This window comes from Homo sapiens, chromosome 6 (assembly GCF_000001405.40).
Source record: "Homo sapiens chromosome 6, GRCh38.p14 Primary Assembly".
Classification (NCBI taxonomy): domain Eukaryota; kingdom Metazoa; phylum Chordata; class Mammalia; order Primates; family Hominidae; genus Homo; species Homo sapiens.
Genome location: NC_000006.12, coordinates 147,651,744 through 147,675,962, shown reverse-complemented (window position 1 = coordinate 147,675,962; position 24,219 = coordinate 147,651,744). Strand labels below are relative to the sequence as shown.

General features: G+C 37.5%; 1 protein-coding gene across 1 annotated transcript in view, besides 1 other annotated feature; it reads right to left on the bottom strand.

The window, feature by feature from the left end:
* The window catches only part of SAMD5 (sterile alpha motif domain containing 5), a 445,991-nt gene that overhangs the window by 278,718 nt on the left and 143,054 nt on the right, over positions 1 to 24,219 (bottom strand). The gene's annotated exons all lie outside the window — the stretch shown is intronic.
* Positions 20,991 to 21,160: an enhancer, noted in NCBI's record as "experimental_90808 CRE fragment used in MPRA reporter constructs". NCBI's record gives its function as "activates a minimal promoter by MPRAs in K562 erythroleukemia cells, with activity observed for the non-introgressed 6:147976024 variant allele {active_cell/tissue: K562}" and the evidence as "EXISTENCE:reporter gene assay evidence [ECO:0000049][PMID:34662402]".

The window sequence follows — 24,219 nt, the reverse complement described above, 5'->3', positions numbered from 1 at the left end:
GAAACTTAAGCTAAATTCTTGGTATTCTCCAACATATTTACAAGTGGGTAATAAAATGCAAAGGAAGTTTATTTCTTTTGCGTGGCATTAATGTAAATGACCAGCAGTTTCATTACCCTTGAACTTCAGTGATTTGCTGCAGCTCTGCATTAACAGAAAATCACTGTCAGTTCATTTTAAATGGATTCTATGAAGGTGTTATAATTTTCCCCTTATACAAAAAACATCCTAAAATCTACATTTAAGTTATATTACTGGACCAATCAATGGCCACAATACTGTATCAAATACAGCAAATTTAAGAGTGAGGCCTTAATGACATATACCATGTATACGTTTCAATTAAAATAAATCAGAAGCTAACAACCACTGGCAAAAACTCCTACACATACAAAACCCGCGTAGAATAAGTTAAAATGATTCATAAAAAAGAACAAAGAAACATTCATCCCTAATGAGATGACATCACTGAAGAGTAAAACAGTATCTAGAACATCTGTTTCAATTACGTTGTTGGGGAGCCAGTCATGTTTTATAGTACGGATGTATATGAGGTATTCACTTGGCAAGGTAACCTCAACAGGAAAGCAGAGGGAACACGTTCAGGATGGGTTCTTCACATTTCAGAGCTTACTTGTGGTTACAATTCTAAAGGAAGCCCAGGAACATAGGCTGAAACTCTGCTTCAGTCATAATTAAAGCATTTATTCTCCCTATTAGAATGATAGGCTATCCATAAAACCTAAGAGAAAATGGGTGTTTGATGCATGATTCTCCTGTTACTCTCTGAAAGTAACTGTTTTTGTATGAACATTCTGGTTTTTATGTCTTTGAGGGTTTTTTGTCAAAGCTGTGGGGCAATACATGAGGTTCTTTATACATGCCAATTTCAATTGATTAATAGTAGCTGGCCAGATCACCATACTGAGACTAATGTAAGCCAAATAGGTGATCAGCATGCAAGACTGCAGTGCTCAATTATTGATGTCTGCCATGGGCAAGGGTTAGTGTTTTCTCATATGCTGTTCTTGGCTTCAAAGAATGGTAATACCTTAGTTTGTGAATCAGGTGTGGTGGTGGAAGAAAAATCTAGCTTGAGAACTGAAAATAAAGGGGAAACAGCAGAAGGAGAGTGGGCAGTTTCTTTGTTCAGCTGTCTCTCCTCACTTGTAGATTCTTGGATTTACATCTTTTTTAATAGTGCAGGTAACTCATTCACAGAGTACAAGCTATCTACCTCTCAGGACACGAAAAATAACAAGAGAATGATAGCACATCTGTCAGGGTTTGGACAGAAAAGCAGAATCCACTCCAATCCACTCCAATTTCAGGCAGGAAGAGATTTTATCCAGGGATCCTCCGTAGCTGAACCAAATACTGAAAGGAAGTCCTATACAAACAGTGCTGTAGTGCCTCTGTGCTACCCCAAAACCCTGGTTGGAGTGCATTGAGAAGGACTCAGATTAGAGAATGCCCGCCAGATTTTAGTGAGAAAAAAACTGAGTTGGGTGCGTGCAAGGGGTGTAGTGTTTGTGCTATGAATCGAGGCTTTGAGATTGGTGTTACTGGGTGGGAAAGGGAGGGTGGAACCAGGAAAATTTAAAGCCTGGGAGAGAACTGGTGAGCCCCACATAAGCACGGGCTGCACATACCAGTGGCCAAGAGGCACATGCTTCTGTGACCAGCAGCCCCCTCCACCCTCTAGTGTTCTCCATCTCCATTACCTAGGAGAAGCTTTGATTGTCTTGTTTTTCCAACCAAACTCTGTACAAGGAACTCCAGGGACATGTAGCACTTAGGAAATTACAATTAATGACAGCCCCTGTCCCCCTTTTCTCTCTTACCCCAAACAGATATAAAAGTAAAAAAACAAAAGAGTAAAAGAGCAGTTTTCAATTTACATTTACAGCACAACATTGTGTCATTAGCATAACCATTGAACAACTGTGAATAAATACCAAGTCATACTTACTGTTAATCCTTCCTAATAATCACAGAGCTTAAAATTGCCTTGTACACTACATTTTTATTAATTACCCAAATACCTGAAGACCTCTAACCCATTATCCTTTTTTTTCTGACAAACTGACCTCCACTTTCTTTTAAAACCCTATTCCTGCATAGATTAAACCCTCCTTTTCCCTCCATCTTTCATTCATGTTGCTCTTATTGACAACACTCTAGATATAGGTGACCTTCACCATAGTCTCATCACCGAAGAATTGATGTTTAAGGTTCTTAATTTTTTCTTTTAATTATATTTTTCATGGATTTGATACATCTGATTAAAAAAATGAAATCAGCATTTAACAATAGTTAGGTTACTATATCTTGCTTTTATTAAGCCAGGAAAAAAAAACCTGATACCATCAATAAATAGAGGAAGTGTCCGCACAAGTATCATTTTCCAAAAGAAAAGGCTAAAAATCTTATTTTAAAAAATGGTTTTTGGCGGGGTGCGGTGGCTCACACCTGTAATCCCAGCATTTCAGGAGGCCGAGGCAGACGGATCAAGAGGTCAGGCGATCAAGACCATCCTGGCTAACACAGTGAAACCCCGTCTCTAACAAAAATACAAAAAATAAGCTGGGCGTGGTGGCAGGCACCTGTAGTCCCAGCTACTCAGGAGGCTGAGGCAGGAGAATGGCGTGAACCCAGGAGGCGGAGCTTGCAGTGAGCAGAGATCACGCCACTGCACTCCTGCCTGGGCAACAGAGCAAGACTCTGTATCAAAAAAAAAAAAAATGGTTTTTGCTTTTTGGTATCAAAATTTATCTGAGCTGAGACATTTAAATGTTTATTTCTAAACAATTAATCAGCATTCAAGGTATTTCTGTAAGAGCCAAGGAGCCAAGGACAAGATAAGAAAAATCAGTATTATTATTACTATTCAACATTATTCTAGAAGTTCTAGCCAACAAAATAACACAAGAAAAAGGTAAGAGTAGCATAATTGTAGAAAGAGAAGAATTAAAGCTATCACTTACCTAGAAGATGCAAGACAAAAGTAAGTCATGCTATACTGTTTGGTCTAACAGTAAACTATGTTAAACAGTTACAACAATGTAAATAGTGGCTTTTGGTTTAAAATAAATAAATAAATAAATTGTGAAATGTATTATTTGGAAGGAACTTAAGGAGCAAAAGAGAGGGATTTTTAAAAAGTAAATCTTCACCTAGAAAATCAATAAATGATGAAATACCAAGAAAGAGCAGTATAATCAGAACATTTAGAAATATGAAGATATATGCAACAAAAAAAATTGCTTAAAGTGGCCTCTGTGGAAGGTGGATGTGGGGGATAAGGGTGGGGGGCTATTATAAGGAGACTGATTTTCTTCAATATAAGCCTTTTAGTGTTATTTGCTATTGATTTATTTAACTATGTTAAACATTTCCTGGATAAAAATATACCATGATTATCCATACAAAGAATACGCAGTTTCTCAAAAGAATAGAGTACATCCCCACGCACTAACATGAAAATATCTAACACATTGTAAGTGAAAAAATATTCATGTTGCAGAACTGTTCAAAGTGATGGAGAAGCATTTTCTCTTTATATTTTATAAATTTAGACTTTGGAAAATTTACCACAATATATACTTTAACATTTTGTAATTAAAGAATTTCTCAATCCAAGAACATCCACTGAACATATGCTAAAATTAATCAAAGTATACCATAAAGTGACTAGAACAAGGTAAGCAAAAATCAGTTTCCTTGTGTATCTTTAATAATAATTACAACACATAATGGAAAATTTTCCATTCACAATAATGGCAAAAAGTATAAAATACTAGCATTAAGACAAATAACAAAAGTACACATGCTATAATATTTTATAAAAAGCTACAAATAAAAATCTGTAAGTAGAGAGGTTAACCATGTTCCTGGTTGGAAAACTCAATATTGTAAACACGTAAACGCTCCTAAAATTTATTTATATATTCAATGCAGACTGCAACAAAATCCCCAAGAGAATTTTCTATGGAATTTGTCAAGTTGATTTTAAAATCCATCTGGAAGGGTAAATGTGCAAGATGAGCTAAAAAAAAAAAAAAAAAAAAAAATCCTGAAAAAGAAAAATGAGAAGAAACATGTCCTATTAAATATAAAGCATATTATAAATTTCCAGTAATTTTCAAAATGTGGCACTAGAGCAATAATGAACAAGAAGATAAATGAAAATGGGAGAAAAGATAAGCAATTGACATTCAAAAAATAGGACGGACACATAAAAAGATCCAAAATTTTTATGAAAACAGAAGAAATAATTAAGTAATGGGTGGCTTGTTGCTCAATTTGTTGAAGATATTAAGCAAAAAATTAATAACACCCAATGACCAAAGACCCACTAGGAAACAATGTTCTCTTATGCTATTGGTGTTAGCAACTTGTTTCAGCCATTCTGGGAACAATTTGGTAGAAACTCTGTATGTTAAAAGTGCTTAAACCTTGACTTAGTAAGTCTACTTCTGAAACTCTGTCCTACAGATATATTAATCCGTATATCAAAAATACATGCATACTTCATTTTATTGTGCTTTGCTTTATTGTAGTTTTCAGATACTGCACTCTTCACAGATGGAAAGTCTGTGGCAAGCCTGCATCAAACAAGTCTTATGGCGCCATTTTTCCAACAGCATGTGCTCACTTTGTGTCTCTGTGTCATATTTTGGTAATGTTTCAAACTTTTCATTATACCTGCTATGGTGATCTGTGATCAGAGACCTTTGATGTTACCCCTGTAGTTGTTGCGGGGTGCCACAAACTGCTCCCACATGATGGTGAATTCAATCAATAAATATGTGTTCTGACTGCTCCACTGACCTGCCATTCTTCTGTCCCTCTTGCCCTTCTTAAGCCTCTCTATTTCACTGAGACACAACATTGAAATTGGGCCAGCTAATAAGCTTACAATGATCTCGAAGTGTTCAAGTGAAAGGAAGAGTTGCATTTCTCTCACTTTAAGTCAAAAGCTAGAAATTATTAAGCTTAGTGAAGTAGTCATGTCAAAAGCCAAGATGGGCCAAAAGCTAGGCCTCTGGTGCCAAACAGGAAAGATGCGAATGCAAAGGCAAAGTTTTTAAAGGAAATGTAAAGTGCTACTACGGTGAACACATGAATGACAGAAAACCAAAATTAGCCTTATTGCTGATATGGAGAAACTTAATAGTCTAGATAAAAGATCCTAACAGCCACAACATTCCTTTAACTCAAAGCCTAATTCAAAGCAGGGCTCTAACTCTCTTCAATTCTAAGAAGGCTGACAGAGGTAAGGAAGCTGTAGAAGAAAAGTCTGAAGCTAGGAAATGTTGGTTCATGAAGTTTAAGAAAAGAAGCCATCACCAACACATAAAAGTGCAAGGTGAAGCAGGAAGTGCTGATAGAAAAGCTGCAGCAAGTTATTCAGAAGATTTAAGATCATGGGTGAAAGCAGCTAAACTAAACAACAGAGTTTCAATGTACATGAAGCAGCCTTCTATTGGAAGAAGTTGCCATCTAAGACTTTCATAGCTTTAAAGGAGAAGTCAATGTCTGAGTTCAAAGCTTCAACAGAAAGGCTGATTCTCTTGTTAGGGACTAATGCTGCTGACTTGAAGCTGAAGCTAATGCTCATTCAATCATTCTGGAAATCTTAGGGCCCTTAAGAGTTATGCTAAATTTACTCTGTTTGTGTTCTATAAGTGGAACAACAAAGCCTGCCTAACAACACATCTCTTTACAACATGGCTTATTGAATATTTTAAGCCCATTGTTGAGATCTACTTCTCAGAAAAAGGAAAAAAATCCTTTCAAAATATTACCACTCATTGACAATGCACCTGGTCATCCAAGAGCTCTGATGGAGATGTACAAAGAGATGAATGCTGTTTTCATGCTTGGTAATAACATCCTTCCTGCAGCCCATGGATCAAGGAGTAATTCTGACTTTCAAGTCTTATTTAAGAAACACATTTCGTAAGGTGGTAGCTTCCAAAGATTGTGATTCCTCTGATGGATCTGGGCAAAGTAAATTGAAACCTTTTGGAAGGAATTCACCATTCTAGATGTCATTAAGAAGATCCATGATTCATGAAAGAAGGTCAAAATATCAACATAAACAAGAGTTTGGAAGAAATTGATTCCAATCCTCATGAATGATTTTGAGGGGTTCAAGACTTCAGTGGAGAAAGTAATTGCAGATGTGGTGGAAACAGCAAGAGAACTAGAATTAGAAGTGGAGCTAGGCTGGGTGTGGTGGATCACGCCTGTAATCCCAGCACTTTAGGAGGCTGAGGCGAGGGGATTACCTGAGGCTGGGTGTTCGAGACAAGTGTGGCCAACATGGTGAAACCCCATCTCTACTAAAAATACAAAAATTAGCTGCTGGGTGTGGTGGTGCACACCTGTAGTCCCAGCTACTTGGGAGGCTGAGGCAGGAGTGTCGCTTTAACCCAGGAAGCAGAGGTTGCAGTGAGCCGAGACCATGACACTGCACTCCAGCCTGGGTGACAGCATGAAACTCTGTCTCAAAAAAAAAAAAAAAAAAAAAAAAAGAAGTGGAGCTTGAAGATGCAACTGAATGGCTACAAGCTCACGATTAAATTTGAATGGATAAGGAGTTGCTTCTTATGAATGAGTCAAGGAAGTGGTCTTTTGGGATGGAATCTACTCCTGGTGAAGATGGTGTGAACATTGTTGAAATGACAACAAAGGATTTAGAATATTCCATAACCTTAGTTGATAAATAGTGGCACAGTTTACGAGGATTGGTTCCAATTCTGAAATAAGTCCTATTGTGAGTAAAATGCTATCACATAGCATCACATGCTACAGAGAAGTCTTTCACGAAAGGAAGAGTCCATTGATGTGGCAAATTTCATTGTTGTCTTATTTTAATAAATTGCCACAGCCAGCCCAACGTTCTGCAACCACCACCCTGATCAGTCAGCAGCCACCAAGATCGGGCAAGACCCTCCTCCAGCAAAAAGATTATAACTCACTGAAGGCTCAGATGATTGTTAGCATTTTTTGACAAAAAGTATTTTTAATTAAGTTATGTACATTGTTTTTTAGACAAAATGCTATTGCACACTTACTAGACTACAGTCTAGTATAGATATAACTTTGTTTTTTGTTTCTTTTTAATTTGAGACAGTCTTGCTCCATCTCCCAGGCGATGTTGGCTCACTGCAACCTCCACTTCCCAGGTTCAAGCTATTCTCCTGCCTCAGCCTCCCAAGTAGCTGGGATTACAAGCCTGCACCACCACGCCCAGCTAATTTTTGTATTTTTAGTAGAGACGGGGTTTTGCCACGTTGGCCAGGCTGGTCTTGAACTCCTGAACTCAAGTGATCCACCTGCCTCGGCCTCCCAAAGTGTTGGGATTACAGGTGTGAGCCACCACGCCCAGCCAAACATAACTTTTACATGCACTGGGAAACCAAAAAGTCATGTGACTTGCCTTATTGCTGTGGTTACTTTATTATGGTGGTCTGTAACCAAACCCACAATATCTCCAAGTTACACCTGCGTATGTACATTAAAATTTACTTACAAAAAAACCCTGAAAATTACTTGTCAATCATTATGGGAAAAATTATAAACTATGTAGCCATGAAATCAATGTGGTAGAGTCTTATGTATTGATGTGGAAAGATCTCCAAAGTAATTTTGAAAATGAAAAAAGCATATTGTAGATAAATATGTCTAGTACGATACAAGCTATTTCTGATCTACATACGTATGTGCGTATGTATATAGATGCACAGGAGAAGGTTTGCAAAAATATACATAGAATGTTTAACAAAGTTTCCTTCTGAAAAGGAAAATGAGGTTGGGCAGGAGAATAAAAGCAGAAATTCACATTTTATTTTATATATTTTAGTATGAATTTGAGATTTTTGTTTGGGGCAGAAATTCTTGTATCGCATTTTTAGTTAGACGTAATTTTTATAATGCAATTTTAAAAATATTTTAAACCAACCTACCAAAAAACAAAAGCCTATGGCAAGTATATTTTTTTCATTTCATGTTTAACTTGGAATGTTAATTTTATCACCTGGACTTTTTATAGGACAAAGAAATAATAAGCAGTACAAAATCTGAAAGTATATGTTCAATTTTCAGTTTCATATTATTTCATGATCTTTTATTTTCTCTTATTTACTCTGATATTTAAACTGTTTGTGAAGAAAGAGAATGGGAAAAGGAGACAGAAGAAGAAAATAAGGAAACTTTGAGTAATTCTAGGAGACATGCAGAAAGCCCAACTGTATTCTGCATGATGTTGCTAGTCATCTACCTCAGTGTGATGGAAAACATCAACGTCCTTGAAAGCAACCCTTTTATTATCATAATAAAAATAATCAGGAATTTAAGTTGTTACAGGAATTTAAGTTGGTGAATGGAGAGAACCTAACAGCCTTCCTTGCACACAGAAAATGCAAACAGGACAAGGAGAATCTGTTCTGCCCTTGGCTTTTTCTTGGCCCCTTTTAGATTCTGTTGCAAAGCTGTTCCAGACCAGGCTTTGCCATTAAGTCTTCCTCATTATATGCCAACGCCTTTTTGTAAAACTGCAAATAGCTACACAAGTTGTTAGATGTGATTATTACCAATTCCTGCAAATTACTTTTTAATGTCTTTCTTTCTTTTTCTAATCAACACCTCACCATTAAAAAAAAGATGCTGACGATTCAAATTAAACAACAACAATAACACCTTACCTAATAAGTGCAAAATTCCAAATAATAAACTGTAGGAAAACAAGAGATGAATAACACACAGGCCTTATGCTTATCTCTGTAAACTCTAACAATGTAATAGTGAGGACCCGGATATGTAAGCAACCACTTTCATACCAGGCTGAATTCAATAAGGACTTTAATGATGGTGCAGCTCATGGAGAGCAGGGCAATTTCCAACCAGAAGGGCTCTAGAAGGCTTCATGAGGGAGGTGACATATCATCCAGGCCTCGGAAAAAATGGGGGAAAGGGCTACTGCAGGAAAGACACATATGACAAAAGGCTTCAGGGTGAGCACTGCCAGTAAGTTGGTGAGAAAGCTTGACGGATAGGGAAAGGGCCAGGGGAAAGGGTGGCAGATGTAATTTACGGGAATAAACAAGCTGGGACAAAAGTTATCAACAGCATCCCAGTAAATGTCCCACTCTTATTTGAGGATGCTATGGACTTTTTCCGGCTTGGGATTTACTTCTTGTCTATGGGGGCCACATAATATGATGACTTCCCTGTATATCCCTGTATTTACAAAATTTGGCATTTTGAATCAAATACGAAAGCTTTGTTATTCCCAAATCACCTCATTTTAAATCTGATCACAAAAAGAAAGGAGATCTCCCTTCAGATAGAGAGGAAGAGTGTGGCTTGCTGAGGCTGCCAGGGGAGACTATTTCAGTCCTCATCTGCTTTCTAAAGTAGTTTAAGAAACTAGAGAAGGAAAGCAAGCTCTCTGACAGGGAGCTGAGGAGGAAGGGCCTGAAGCTTTAGCAGCCAGCACAAAAGCAGAAACAGGCTGGAGGACGCACACTGTTCTCACGCACAGCATGTGAATGAAGTCGTTTTGGGAATGTCTGGAAAATATTCTTATTTAAGGCCCTCTTCTCAAAATACACATTGCAATAAACTGGTACAAATACATCCGATACACATCTTTTAAGTCAGAGTAAGACAAATTTACCAAATCACTTCATAATAAAAGTAAAAATTTTAAAAAACGGCCGGGTGCGGTGGCTCACGCCTATAATCCGAGCACTTCGGGAGACTGAGGCGGGCGGATCACGAGGTCAGGAGTTGGCGACCAGCCTGGCCAACATGGTGAAACCCCGTCTCTACTAAAAATACAAACATTAGCCAGGCATGTTGGCGGGCGCCTGTAGTCCCAGCTACTCGGGAGGCCGAGGCGGGAGAATCGTCTGAACCCTGGAGGCGGAGGTTGCAGTGAGCCGAGATTGCGCCACTGCACTCCAACCGGGGCAACAGAGTGAGACCCTGTCTCAAAACAAACACACACACACTCACTGAGAGCAATAAGATACTTCTTAAATGGGGAAAAAAATAACTTTTTCATAGTATTTGCTTACATAAGCAGCCTAGGAGAAAAAAACACACAGAAGGTTGAAAACACTGTTGAATTAATTTCTAAGACTTTCACAGAAAAAGAAAAGACCTAACAACTATCTTACTCAATTTTGCAGACTGTCACCCCAGAGACATCTCCTTCATTGAAAGATGGTATCACATTAAGGATTATCTTGGCAGAAATTATGTCTGTTGATGCTTCAGGGGCTCCAGTTGTGGAAATGGTTTTGTGGCTGGTTGAAGGGGCAGTTTCCTAAAGCAGCAGGAGGTCACCCTCTCATTACATCAGGCATAAATCTTGACCATGGAGTTGATTAGTGAAATGTGCACAGTAGGAATTCCATAAGCACCTGTGGGCAGCCTGGTCTTCACTCATCTCCTGTCCCTTCTTTCTAAAACACAGTTCTTTTTCTCTTCTGATTATAGTAATAATTCACAATCTCAATTTTTATAAGGTACAGAAAATATTCAATGAAGGAAATAAAACTCATCTACCATCATACCATGTAGACATAACAAGTTTTCATTAGATACTTCTCCCTGTTTTCCCCATATTATTAAAACACTTTCAAAACATTCATTGATAGGATACCTCGTAGGATTTATTTGACTGATATATATGAAAAGGAAAGACACCTGTCTATACAAAATGAAAAAAGAAGCACCCTGTAGAATCATATGAACTACATTAAACTATGTTTGTAGAATCAGTTGCTTAAATTTTAAGTCTAAACACAGTAAAGGCAATACAGTAGAAAATACAATGAAAACATTCTTTTAAGGGAAAAATCTTGATTATCAGAAACATTTTCCACTGTAACAGAGCAAATGCCCATTCTAGTTAAACAAGGTTGAATGATTCCCCACTTGTTTCTTTACAATCTTGGGAGACACTAAAGAAATTGCTACCTAGGTAAATTTTGTAAAGGTTACAGCAGGCCAAACACAGAGAACAAAGGAAAAAAAAATAACAACAGTATTCAAAGCAGCAGCAAAAAGCAACACAATATAATTCTACCAGCAAATGCTTGCTTGGTGCTATTTTACCATTTGTATGTTTTAGAATTTTTTTTTCTAGTTGCAAAAAACTCCAAAAACCTAGATACTTTATGCTTCTGAATTTCATATACATTATAAATATATATTCAATTTTCAACAAATTCTGCAAATATCCAATTTAATCTCAAGAGATTACATAGAAATCCCAGTTAAATTTACATACGGTATTCAGTGTTTCTAGATTTGTGTTTTTATTTATTTTCATTATATGGAGATTGTTATTTGCTGAATATTAGCAGGAATTTCCACTTAAAAAAGAGTCCTTCAATCAACACTACTGGCATACTTTGGTGTGTAACATATTAACATTTTTCCATGACAGGATCAGAAATACAGCCTTGGGTATCACTGAGAAACGAGTCTGATGGAGGAAATCTCTCTGCAAAGTACCCGGACCTTAAAAGTATCAGGACAAGTTTGATCCACTCAGAAGATGGCTTATAGTATATTTATCTCTGCTAGTCTCCTGGAGTTATAATGATTACTGTCAGCAGGGATGCCCTTTCCTCTGACAGAGCTGACACTGCTGAGTACAAATTAAAGCAAAATCAGATTTTTTAGTCTCTGAAAGGGTAGTGGAAATGGGGGAGGGGCAGAATCTTTCCTTCCTTATCTGTCTCCTCACTGTTTCAAGTTTGTCAAGGAAATCCAGCACCAGAAAATTTAAATAGAGATGATACAGGCTGAATGGGGAAGGTTTTATTGTTGAGTGAAGGTGGAATGAGACAATACTGCTGAGAAATTGCCAGTGGTCCTTGAGATTTCTCTAACCATTTCAAAAACAAAGAACTCCTCTAGTCCTTCTAAGCTTACGTTTGTTCTCCAAGCTTAATCTGTTAGAACTAAAAATGTGACGTTCTGTTACAAATTTTCAAGACTAAAAAGCAGATTTCTAAAAAAAAAAAAAAAAATTTACATGTAAAAAATTCAGATAAATGGATTACTGTCATGATCATAGAATTTTTTTTTTAATCAGATGATAAGGCTTTTTCTTTCTCTCTCTTTTTTTTTTTTTTTTTTTTTGAGACAGAGTTTCGCTCTTTCACCCAGGCTGAAGTAAAGTGACAGGATCTCTGCTCACTGCAACCTCTGCCCCCCGGGTTCAAGTGGTTCTCCTGCCTCAGCCTCCTGAGTAGCCGGGATTACAGGCGTGCACCACCACACCTGGCTAATTTTTGTATTTTTTTTTTTAGTAGACACAGGGTTTCCGCCATGTTGGCCAGGCTGGTCTTGAACTCCTGACTTCAGGTGATCCACCCACCTCCTCGGCCTCCCAAAGTGCTAGGATTACAGACTTGAGCCACCACACCTGGCCCCCTTGTTTTCTTTTTTGATTAACTTTTATTTTAACTTCAAGGGTACAAGTGCAGGTTTGTTACATAGGTAAGCTTGGTTCATGGGGATTTGTTGTACAGATTATTTCATCACCCAGGTGTTAAGCCTAGTACCCATTAGTTCTTTTTCCTGATCTGTTCCCTCCTCCCACCTTTCCCCCTCCAAAAGGCCTCAGAGTGTGTTAGTCCCTCTATGTGTCCATGTGTTCTCAATTGATAGAATTTTACATCAAGTATTGGAGAGTCTTGTATTAAGGTTTCAGTGTTTGACACTGGCAGAAACAATAAAGTGTTTTCCAGATGCCGATGAACAGTGTAACATAAATGCAATACTATTATTAATTCTAATATTCACATTTTTCTCCAGCTTCATGGTAATTCACACTAGAATTGAAAGCAAATCCTTCTTCTGACTAAAGCCTTAATTGCATAGGGGTATGCTAATGTGGTAATGACACATTATCAGATGTCATTGCTTTTACAAAATATTCTACAAGACAGTTACTAGTATACTGTGAAATATTAATAATTAAAAACAAATCACACTTGTCAAAATAACTACATTTGTCTATTATAATATTCTTGTTTCTTTATTTGCACTTGTTTTTTGAAGTGGCAGGTGTCAAAGTGGATCTTTTTGTTGTAGTACATGTAGCCAATTATGCACATGGTGTAGAGGGGACCTGACAGCAGATTGAAATGATTACGTGCATGCAGAAGACTGATGTAGCAGAAGAGGAGAATTCTCTGGAATTACTGTTCTAGGAGAATATTCTGTTAGTGATATTTACCCCAAGGCTTTTCATCTGGACACTCTCACCCATGATAAAGAATCTAAGTGAGGGGACCTGATACACCGATGTGCATTCATCAACAAGGTGAAGGCTATCGATATTTCCAGGGGGATTTCATTTATTAAACAATTTACTGCACAATTCCATGACCAGGTTCCTTGGTTTCATATTTAACTTTTAAATCCTTTCCTAATTCATGTAATTTTCTTACATATTGAAATGGAAATCAGCCATTTTTCTTCATTTCTAAGATTTGGCTTCCTCATTCATTTCCATTTTTAAAACAAACCAGAGTGAGTTTACAAATTTAGAATGAAGCTGTTAATTGCCAAGAGCACTACAGAGTCGCAGAGTTCTGCTTGGAGCATCCATCTCTGAAAGGAGATACTTATAATCTCATTTGTTGTCTGTTCCCAAAGTCTGATAAATAAAAAATGGGATGGACTTCAGCTGTGTCATTGAGAAGTATAAGGCCAAAAAATACTATACTCCTTTCATCTTCTGCTTAATTCAGATCATTACACCAAAGAAACATGCTCACCAGTAAGCATGGGAAGCCCTGCTAGTCCTAGTCTCTTCCCCATCAAATAGCATGTGGGTCATCGGGGCTTTGCTGCTGTTCTTCCTATTTTTGTGAAGATGTGAAACATAAGGAGAGGACGAAATGAGTCAAGGAAGAACTTCAAGGGCTACAGAATGGGCAACCGTGAACTTAAATTAAGTGGCAAGCATCTTATTTAAAAGAACGGTTTTAGTCGCGCCGGGCGTGGTGGCTCACGCCTGTAATCCCAGCAATTTGGGAGGCCGAGGTGGGCAAATCATGAGGTCAAGAGTTCGAGACCAGCCTGGCCAACATAGTGAAACCCCGTTTCTACGAAAAATACAAAAAATTAGCCGGGCATGGTGGCAGGCGCCTGTAATCTCAGCTACTCAGGAGGCTGAGGCAGGAGAATCGCTTAAACCCGGGAGGCAGAGGTTGCAGTGAACAGAGACAGCACCACTGCACTCCAGCCCAGGCAACAGTGAGAGACTCCATCTCAAATAAATAAATAAATAAACAAACAAACACAAAGAGTGGTTTTAATGATCAAGGTCCTCCTAACTAATAGAATGCTATGGTTAATGTTAAGCATTGCTCCTTCCAAAAAGTCAGTTTCCTAAACGATGGGTATTCATTTGAGAGTGACTAATAATTTGGGGGCTGGCAATTTCTTCAGAGATCATATGATGCTCCTACACTTCAAAGATATTAATGAGAACTTTTAGAGAAAACCCTTGCCTTAAAATTTAAGAGACTGTTCTCCCATCACGACAATATCTCATTTCATTCTGCAATGATAGCAGATCTGTTTTCCCAGATATTTTACGCATTTACTTCCATGTGAAAAGCAGCACTTTTTTTATATTTTTAAATTATATTCTTTCATAAAAAATCTGAAGGTGAAGTCTCAGATGTAAATGCCCTTTAAGGATGACAATTATTAGGAATCTCCAGATTCTAGTTTCTTTTTCATGTTCTCTTCCCAGGAAAAGAAAAAAAAATTGGTAGATTTTGCTTCTAAAGGGAATATATATACATATAATTGCCTATTGTCATCCAGAACTTTCACACCGGTAGCCAATATGGAGATTTATATACTCCTGATCCCACAGTTTAGGGACAAATCTACGCACAACCTCATTGAGCACCTTGGCAGAAAAAGGGTGTTGTAAAAAGGAAACTTGCAAGATCTGTCTTGAAACACTGTCCCAAAGAAACCTGTGCCTGACTTCCCAGTTCCTACCTGTATTAGTCGGTTCTTGCACTGCTATATAGAACTATCTGAGACTGGCTAATTTATAATGAAAAGAGGTTTAACCGACTCACGGTTCCACAGCTGTACGGGAAGCATGGCTACGGAGGCCTCAGAAAATTTTCAATCGAGGTAGAACGCGAAGGGAAGTAGCCACATCTTAACGCGGCCAGAGCAGGAGGAAAAGAGAGAAGGGCGGGGGAGGAGCCACACACAAACATCCAGATCCAGATCGCCTGAGAACTCTCTCACTATCGCGAGAACAGCGAGGGTGGGAGATCCGCCCTTATGATCCAATTACTTTGTACCAGGCCCCTCCTCCAATATGGGGGATTACAATTCAAAATGAGATTTTGGCAGGGACACAGAGCCAAACAATATCACTACCAGATCATGAACTTTAACAAGCCTAAAGGACTATAATGGGGTGACAAACCCTGGAAATGTCTGTTTTGCCCAACACTGGCTCAGCATGGTAGGGAAGCAGGGTGGCTGCAGGGCAAGGCCTAGGAAAGGAAGGGGTTCTGCACGTCCCTCTGTAAATCCCGTCTCCCAGGGCATGGTGAACTTCAAGGTTCAATACAAGCCATTACCATACAGACAACATCCATGACTTACTGCACTTCCATGTAATAAATGGTAGAATATGAAGAGATATAGGAGATGAAATAATTTAGACATTCACATATATACAGTTCCAATTATTGCCTGAACATCCTTCTGCAAAAGGAGCCGGGGCATTTCCGCATATCATAAGGACAGGCCGACTTCTAATTCAAGACTCTCAAGAAGACCCATCAGCTGTGCAGCAACCTCAAAGCTTCCTGTCAATGTTGTTAATGGCAAGGCTAAGCACCTGAGTGTCTTCGGTCAGGGTGCTCCTAATAGCATCGTGATTGCCAAGTGATTGAGAACAATCATGGAGAGAAGACAGAAAATGGCCTATTAGGACGTCCTGGCCAACTCTCCTCCCTCTCGACAAAGCTGGTTTCTTTCCACAGGCACAACAGGGCGGTGACCTACAGGAGATTTGCCATAGCTTTTCCCAGTCCTGTTTCCAGCTACTACAAGTTATGAAAATCTATCACCGGTGATGGGGAGGGGTGGAATGGAAAATACACCCTAATGCTATAAATATATACCCTATATATAGAGAGAGATATTTCCAAGAAATTATTTGATGTAGCTTATTACTTTAGCCACTACTTCTCTCATTTTTGTTTAATGAAAGCAATTTAACAGAAATTCCTAAACGGAATACACTCATTCTTGTATACTTTGGGAAAGCTTCAGATAAAATTATGCTTTCTTCTTTTCCTAATCACGTCTAAGAATCTGTTATCTTTCTAATGAAAACCTCTCCATCATCCAAACCATCCCATTTATCAGCCAGAAGTTGAGCTAGTATAGAAGACTCAAGTTGGTGATCAAAAATGCTAGAATACAAATACCAATACAAATCCTGTTGTTTTGCTCTCTTCTCATTATATATTCTTTTGAGGAATCTTGCAGGTCACATTGATAAGCTTTGCTGATAGCAAAACAATTGATAAAGAAATTCACAGAACCAGGGACATGAAAAAAAAACAAAATTTCCCTGCCACATTCAATAATGTTAAAGTTATTTTTTTTTAAATGTACTGAGAACATGCCCTGTTTCCCAATTTTACTTGATTAGGAAACTCATTTCCCCAAAGAATACCTATTAACCTATTAACAACTCACAGCACACCAAGTGCCATCTGCCAATTATAAAGCAGTTAAGAACACACTGGTCTAAATGTTTCAGTCCATTCTGTTACAAAGCCATAATCTGCAGTGTTTTCTGTAAGGAAGTTTGCCTTTGAGAGGATGTCTTCTAAACTCATTCTTTTATTCTGTATTAAATTCCCTTAATCTCAGAGTCAATCTGCTTTAGTAGTTCAGGCTCTGGAATAATTACCACTCATTAACTGAGTAAATTATATCTCTGTGCCTGTTTCCTCATCTCTAAAATGAACGCAGATCAAATTAGCTGATCCATACAAGGGTTTAGCACAATGTGTCCCCAGAACACTCAATAACTACTAGCTAGTACTTCCATCATTAGTATAAAGCCAAAGAAGATTGAGATCAGTTCTCACAAAATAAACATAATCCCCATTCATGTTTAGCCCAATTCTTACCTTAATTCCATGTGCTCAAAGAATGCTGTCTTCCACCCACGTTCTGACTTGAAAGTGGAAAAAAAAAAACCCAGTAGGAGATGACAATCTCACCCATAATGTCTTTAATGCCTCTCATATCATTTCAATTAGTAAATCATTTTTAAGTACATAGGTGAGCAGAAATCTGAGCTAAGTCCTTCAATAACCAGTTTTCTCTTTCTCACTAAGGTTTGCTACACTTTGAGATGAATAGTATCAATTATCTCAGTTGCTAAATCAATCATCATCTTGTACTCATAAAAATTAAAATATATATATGAATAAATAAATAAATAAACCATCATCTTGTGGGAAAAGATTCAAAGGGCAAAAAGACACAATTCCACATCTAACTGTGAGCTTGCACCTTGGGCACTACTGGTTTTGGTGGCTTTAAGCAGAGACAGCTGCCTCTGCAGTTCCAAAAAAGAGCTATGAAATAATACTGATTCCCAGACAATCTTCTTAACATCTTCTGAATAAAATGTGCCCAGCCTCACTGGACTGGGCTGGGACACTGGAGAGGCTTCTGAAGAGATCCTTGAACTGACCCCAGAGGTCATAGGACTGGCCTGAAAGTTTTACACTATTCCTTTGAACAAAGTGACAAGAATCATCTTTTACCACCTGTGTAAGTCCCCTTTGGATGCATGTGAGAAGTCTATTTTTTCCACATTTTTAAAGATATTTTATTTGGAAATAGTTTCAAACTTTTGAAAAATGCAAAGATCAATACAAATAATCCATACAAAAGTAGAACAAAGAGTCTTCACTTAGCTTCTCACCAATGTTACAGACTGAATCTTTGCATCCCTCCAAAATTCATATGTTTACATCCTAACCATCAAGGGGATGATATTAGGAGGTGAAACTTTTGGGTGGTGATTAGGGCATAAGAGTGGAGTTCTCACGAATGGGACTGATGCCCATATAAAAGAAACTTCGGAGAGCTTCCATGCCCCTTCTACCATGTGAGGGCGGAGCGAGAAGGCACCGTCTATGAACCAGCAAGCAGGCCCTCACCGGACACCGAATCTGCCAATGGCTTGATCCTGGACTTCCGAGCCTCCAGAACTGTGAGAAATAAATTTCTGTAGTTTATAAGCCACCTGATTCATGGTATTTTGTTATAGCAGCCTCAGCTGACAAAGACAACCAGCTTCACCTAGTTTCAACATTTTACCTCATTGCCTTATCTGTGCTCTCTTTCATTTCTCTTTCTCACGCTTACTCACTCTCTCTCTCGCTCTCTCTCATGTTTGTCCTGGAGTATTAGAAAGTAGGTTACATACCCCTTTATTAAAATAAATTACATAGACCAAGCTCTCTACCCTCCAAGAATAGGGCTATTATCTTACATGGCCACAGTACAGTTATCAACTTCAGGACATTTAACATTAATGTAATAATTGTATCTAATCTACAATTAATATTCCAAGTTTTATCAGTTGTCCCAAATGTGCCTTTTATACCATTTTCTACCCTCTAGCACAAGATCAGTATGTTTTCTAATTTTTCCTTGTTTCATACCTATAAGAAAGTACGTAGCTTCCTTATACTCTCTTGCACATAGCTTTTTTCACTTCAGTATATATCCTGGAAATCACTTTATTATAGAAGTGAAAATTCCTCATATTTTTTACAGCTGCCTAATACACAGTGCGTATAAATACTATGCTTTATACAACCGGTCTCTATGCTTGGACATTCAAGTAGTTTCCAACATTTTGCAATTACAACAAATGCTTCAATGAACAATGAATACCTTATGGATACACACACACACACACACACACACACACACACACGTATACTGTATTGTTGGAGGTTTATCTTTAGAGTAAATTCTTAGAAGCGGGATTGCTAGGATAGAAACCAAATGCATATACAATTTTGTTACATATTGCCAATCCTCCTTCATAGGAATGGTACCATTTGCTATTCCCACCAGCAGTGTAGGAGAGCTCCTATTTCCTTACATCCTCTCCAACAGAATGTATCGTCAAACTTCTAAGTTTGCCAATCTAATGAATTAGAAATAGTACTGGTGTTGTTCCAATTTCATTTCTCTTACAATGAGAAGAAGATTTGAACATCTTTTCATATGTTGTCTTTCTGTGCATTCTTGCTTCATTTATTTGCTCATTCGTTCATAAAGTTTTTGTTCATTTTTTCTTTTAATTTTTAAAAGATGTTTACAACTTAGGGGTATATGCCTTTTATGGGAAAAGAACACTGAAAATATTTTCTCCCAGTGGTCATTTGTCTTTTAACGTCTTTGCTTTTGGTGTTTACCATTTTGAGTAGATAGTTTGTGTATTTGTTTGTTTTCAATTTTTTGCTTTTGACTTGCAAAAGTTTTATTTTTATGGAGCCACATTTATCTTTTGCTTTGTTGTATAGGGATTTTTAAAGAGTAGAAAGTCTCTCTGTGTTCAAGTTGTAGAGGGATTCGGTCATGTTTTCTGCTAGCGTGTGTATAGTGTTATTTCTTTTCACTTTCAGATCTCTGATGCACTTGGAGTTTATTTTTGTGTGTGGTATGAGCAACAGATCTAATTTTACCTTTTTCAAAATTGCTTTCCAGTTGTCCCAACACCATTTATTATAAAAAGACCATCTCTATCTCATGGTCTTAAATACTACCTTTATTTTATACTGGATTTTGATCCATAATTAGATGACTCTGGTGTTTGTTTACATTTTATTCCATTGGTTTCTATTTTATGTAGGCAGTTGCTGTGTTATTTGGTCCATAGATATCCATAACTGCTATAACCTTGTTGTAGACTGTGGCTTCTAATGTTAGAAAGTGTTATTCTTTCTTTTATCTAATGCTTTTACACTTGAGTTCATTCTTTCTGTAAACCTATATGATTTTTGCATTTATATTGTTTTAATTGTCACATTCATTGTATTATATGATTAACACACTTTTTCACAATGAAAACAGCTTTGTAACTAGAAAACTACAATGAAAAATCAGTTGGACATAAGATGTGAAGAGTTTGCAACCTCTCTGTTTACTTAACGTGGAAATTCTAGAGAATCAAGTAGATATTGTAATTAATAAATTACATAAATATTCTTTAGCATTTGTCGTGCCACCTATAATGATGTACTGCAAGAGCTGATTTTGTTACACAGATTCTGATTAATAAAGTCACTCTGAATGTCTCTGTGTACAGATTTGTTTTTCTGTCCATTCAGTAGTATTCTAGTTTTAAGATGCTTAAAGGTATTATAAAAAAAACTAGGGCAACGTGGATATACATGCATAAATATTGTTTCAGAAGAGAAAATTTATACAAATAAAAATAATTGAATTTTTTAGTTGGGAAAGGCATACATGTGACAAAAATGAGGACCAGTAAAGTGACTTACCTAAAGTCACATAGCAAGATAGTACAAAATCTCTCCTGTCATGCAGGTTGCTTAGCAGCTAGTCAAGTGTTCTTTTTACACTTACATGTTAAGCCTGTTTCTGTGTGTATATCAGAAGAAGTGCCTTCTTCACTTTGAGAATATCTTGGGAAATGGAAAATTTGTGTGCCCAAACTAGCCTGAAATGAAACATTAAGAGGAACCAACATATTCTTCAGGAAAAAATGTGGGGAAAGCAAGGAAAATACAGAGGGAAAGAGCAAAAATGAGTTTCAATGTTCAGAAGTAAAATTGCTAGGTGCCTTGATGATGATAACTAAACACACATGTGGTGAATCATCACTCATGGTCCTGATCACTTGGGTTCATTGTGCTTGTCAATCAAAAGGACCCCAGACGTGCCTGCCACCAATCCCCAGGCTGACCCAGATGCTTCTAGTGACTCAGTTAGGAGGATGGAGGGCAAACTGACAACAAGCAAAATTCTAATTGTTGGGAAGGTATTTTGGGTTTCCTGCACTTTGTTTTATATTTTTTTTTTTTTGAGAAAAAGATAGTCAAACCATCCAGGCATAAAATCATTCTAATAGAAAAGCTGTTGAGAATCATGGAGAAAAAAAATAAACCCTGTACACTGGAGCTCACTGCTTACTCACAGGCACTTACATCAGGATAGCAGCAGCAGCGGCAGCAGGAGCAGAAAAACAGGCTAATCAGAAGGAAGAAAAAACATTCTCTGAAAACGCTAAAATGGAGCAACAGTAGTGGCCTAGAAAGGGGTATCATATGTTTTGGTAAAAATAATAATAATAATAATAAGCCATGTAGCAATGGAGAATTGAAATTCCTGAGAGTCACTGAAACTGTTCAGGGGCTCCTTTCATTCTCTTCTTCACTTCCAAACCCTGCAAATCCCCCACGGAGCTCTTTGTATAGAGATAATTTCTCAGACTACTTAGCGGAGAAATTCATACTTTTATAGAAAGGTATGTGATGATGGTGTATTTATGTGTGAAAGAGAAAAGAGGAATTTACTGGTCTCTCCATCTTCAAGAAAGAAAATTCTAAGAATTTTCACATCACCACCTACAGACCATGACAATGTCTTCCAGAAAAATAAACATTGTTCCTTTTATGGCTTTTAGAACTAGAATGCAGAATTCAATTATTTATTTTAAAATCCCTAACAGGATTTTATCCTGGAGGAGAAAGCGTGCACAAGTAAAAGGAATTGTAAATGCTAACAAAATAAAGGAAAAAAGACAAAAAGGCTCATTATAGAATTTTCAGTATCAGGGGATTCTAATTCTAAACTGTGGATTAAATTCGTGTCATTGTTGATTACATCTTCTGGGCTGTGACCAGTGTTGTAAAAGAATAGGAGAAGCATGAAGTCTCAAAGGCAACTTCTCTTCTCCATGCCCATGGGAATATCTTAGAGCTCACAATGAGTTAATAAAAAGCCCCTGATTCTTGATCTCATGGATAAAGAGCTCACCAATTAACAGGCCCACAGGAAAGAACAAAGCAGCTTCATATCGAAACAGAAAAAACAAAAAACAAAGCCCTGCAATTTGCAAATGTCCAAGAAGTGCATGGAATATCAGTAAATAATGGAAAGGAATACAATTTTTAAAAAAATAGGCTCTGTGCATATTTGAAAGTGTCTTTTTTTCCAGATAAATAATTCTAGATGAACAATTTCATACACACAGAGCATTTGAATAATTCCATAGAATCCATTTTACCAGATCTTTCTGCCTAATTACAAGTCTTTGAACCAGACACCGGTACTTGAAAGATCAATGCCTGGCTGCACAAAGCATATATAAAGCATAATTAAGAGGAGGACTGCTCGACGGAGCCACGGATAACATGCATATGGATGTGTGAAGTCTTCACATGTACACACTTTATAGCTGTGATATGCACATCAGACACATACTCTCACTGTCCAAAATGTCTTTGGCTGCCATTTTATAAATGAGGCAATCAAAGGAAAATGGAATTAAAAACAAATAATAAGGTAACCAAATTTTAGATCATCTTCTTATTTGAATCTCTGAGTATAAAGCAAGTCTATTTAACTCCATTTTGAAGTATTTATCTCTGAAAATACCTTACTTCCTATTTAGATCAAAATTTGGTACATTTCTAGGAAATACGTGGATTTTAAATGTGAAATGATTTGTTCAACTTGCTTCTCATTTTTTTAATTCCAAATCAATATAATCAAACATTAACACTTTGGACTACTCAGAAAGTATATTTATACTTTCAGGAAGGAATATGGTAGAGTATGTACTTAAGTGGGAGCATTTTGTGTGTAAACTAGGAAGGTTGGCTTAGTCTCTGGGAGGCAAACAAATCGAAGTCGCTGAATTCTGGGGGTTCTCAATGCTCAGAGGAGGCAGCTGTAATGAATGGAAGAAAATGACAGGCAAAAAGACATCTAAGACAGTTGCTGGCACCAAGTAAATAAATAATAAATAGTACATTAATGCTGACCAAACAAAGTGACAGGATTCACCAACACATCATATGGGATAAGAAAAAGTGTGAAGAATCAGAAATTGTGATAAAATGAAAATGTGTGTCTTGACTGTAGGATAATAAACTGTTAGAGTTGCCAGGAACCTTTAAAAACAATCTAGCCCAATACTTGTGACATATTCAGGAGTGAATACATAGGGATCCGAGATGAGGAGCCCCAGAAGGCCACTTGGCCAGCCAGTCCAGTCTCCTGCCTCCCCTACTACTGCTGCTGAACCATGGTGTCTCACATGTCTAGACCACCATTGCTACTGAACCAGGGAGCCTCCTCCATGATTGCTACTGATCCATGGTGTCTCAATGTCCTTGAGCTTTGGTTCAATAGCATTACAGAAAATTAATAAAAGCTCAGAATCTCTACTTGATTGTCCTTTTATCTATATGTTTTTGCTAGGTTGAGAGGAGAAAGGCAATTATTATAAAACACTTATAATATGGTTTCAAAAGTCACTTTCTAAAAAAAAACCAACCAACCAACCAAACAAACAAAAAAACCTTCAGCTATTAAACCAGAGGCAATATTTGGAACCTCTGATGAAACCAAGTAGCTTTTAGTGCAATTAAGTAAAGGACATATAACCAGAAAGATGACACACTTTGTATATTTGCAGTTACAGTGGAAAATGCTAGCCTAAGTCAACTGTGTAAGAAATGCACCTTTGTCTCCTTTCATTTTCTGTCCCTACATTTTGACCAATTAAGATACGTTATTCTGATCTTTTATTTATCAGTATTGTGAAAGAGCAAATGACTTTTAAATGGCAAAAATCATCCACAGGGGCCTGGCTGGTAAGAGGCTGAATGCGGGGGTTGGTGTTGAGCTGTGGGACTCCGACCCCCACTCTGTGCGGGCCTGGGTGTGGTCTTGGAGGAAAGCACTGAATCACTCTGGTCTTCAGCTGCCTTGTCTAGAAAAATGACACAGTTGGTAAAAGAATCTCTAATGTGACTCACAGCTCCCATATTCTCTGATAATTCTTGCTCTGATTTAATTTTGTTCTTTATGTAAAAGTTGAATAGTAGTCTT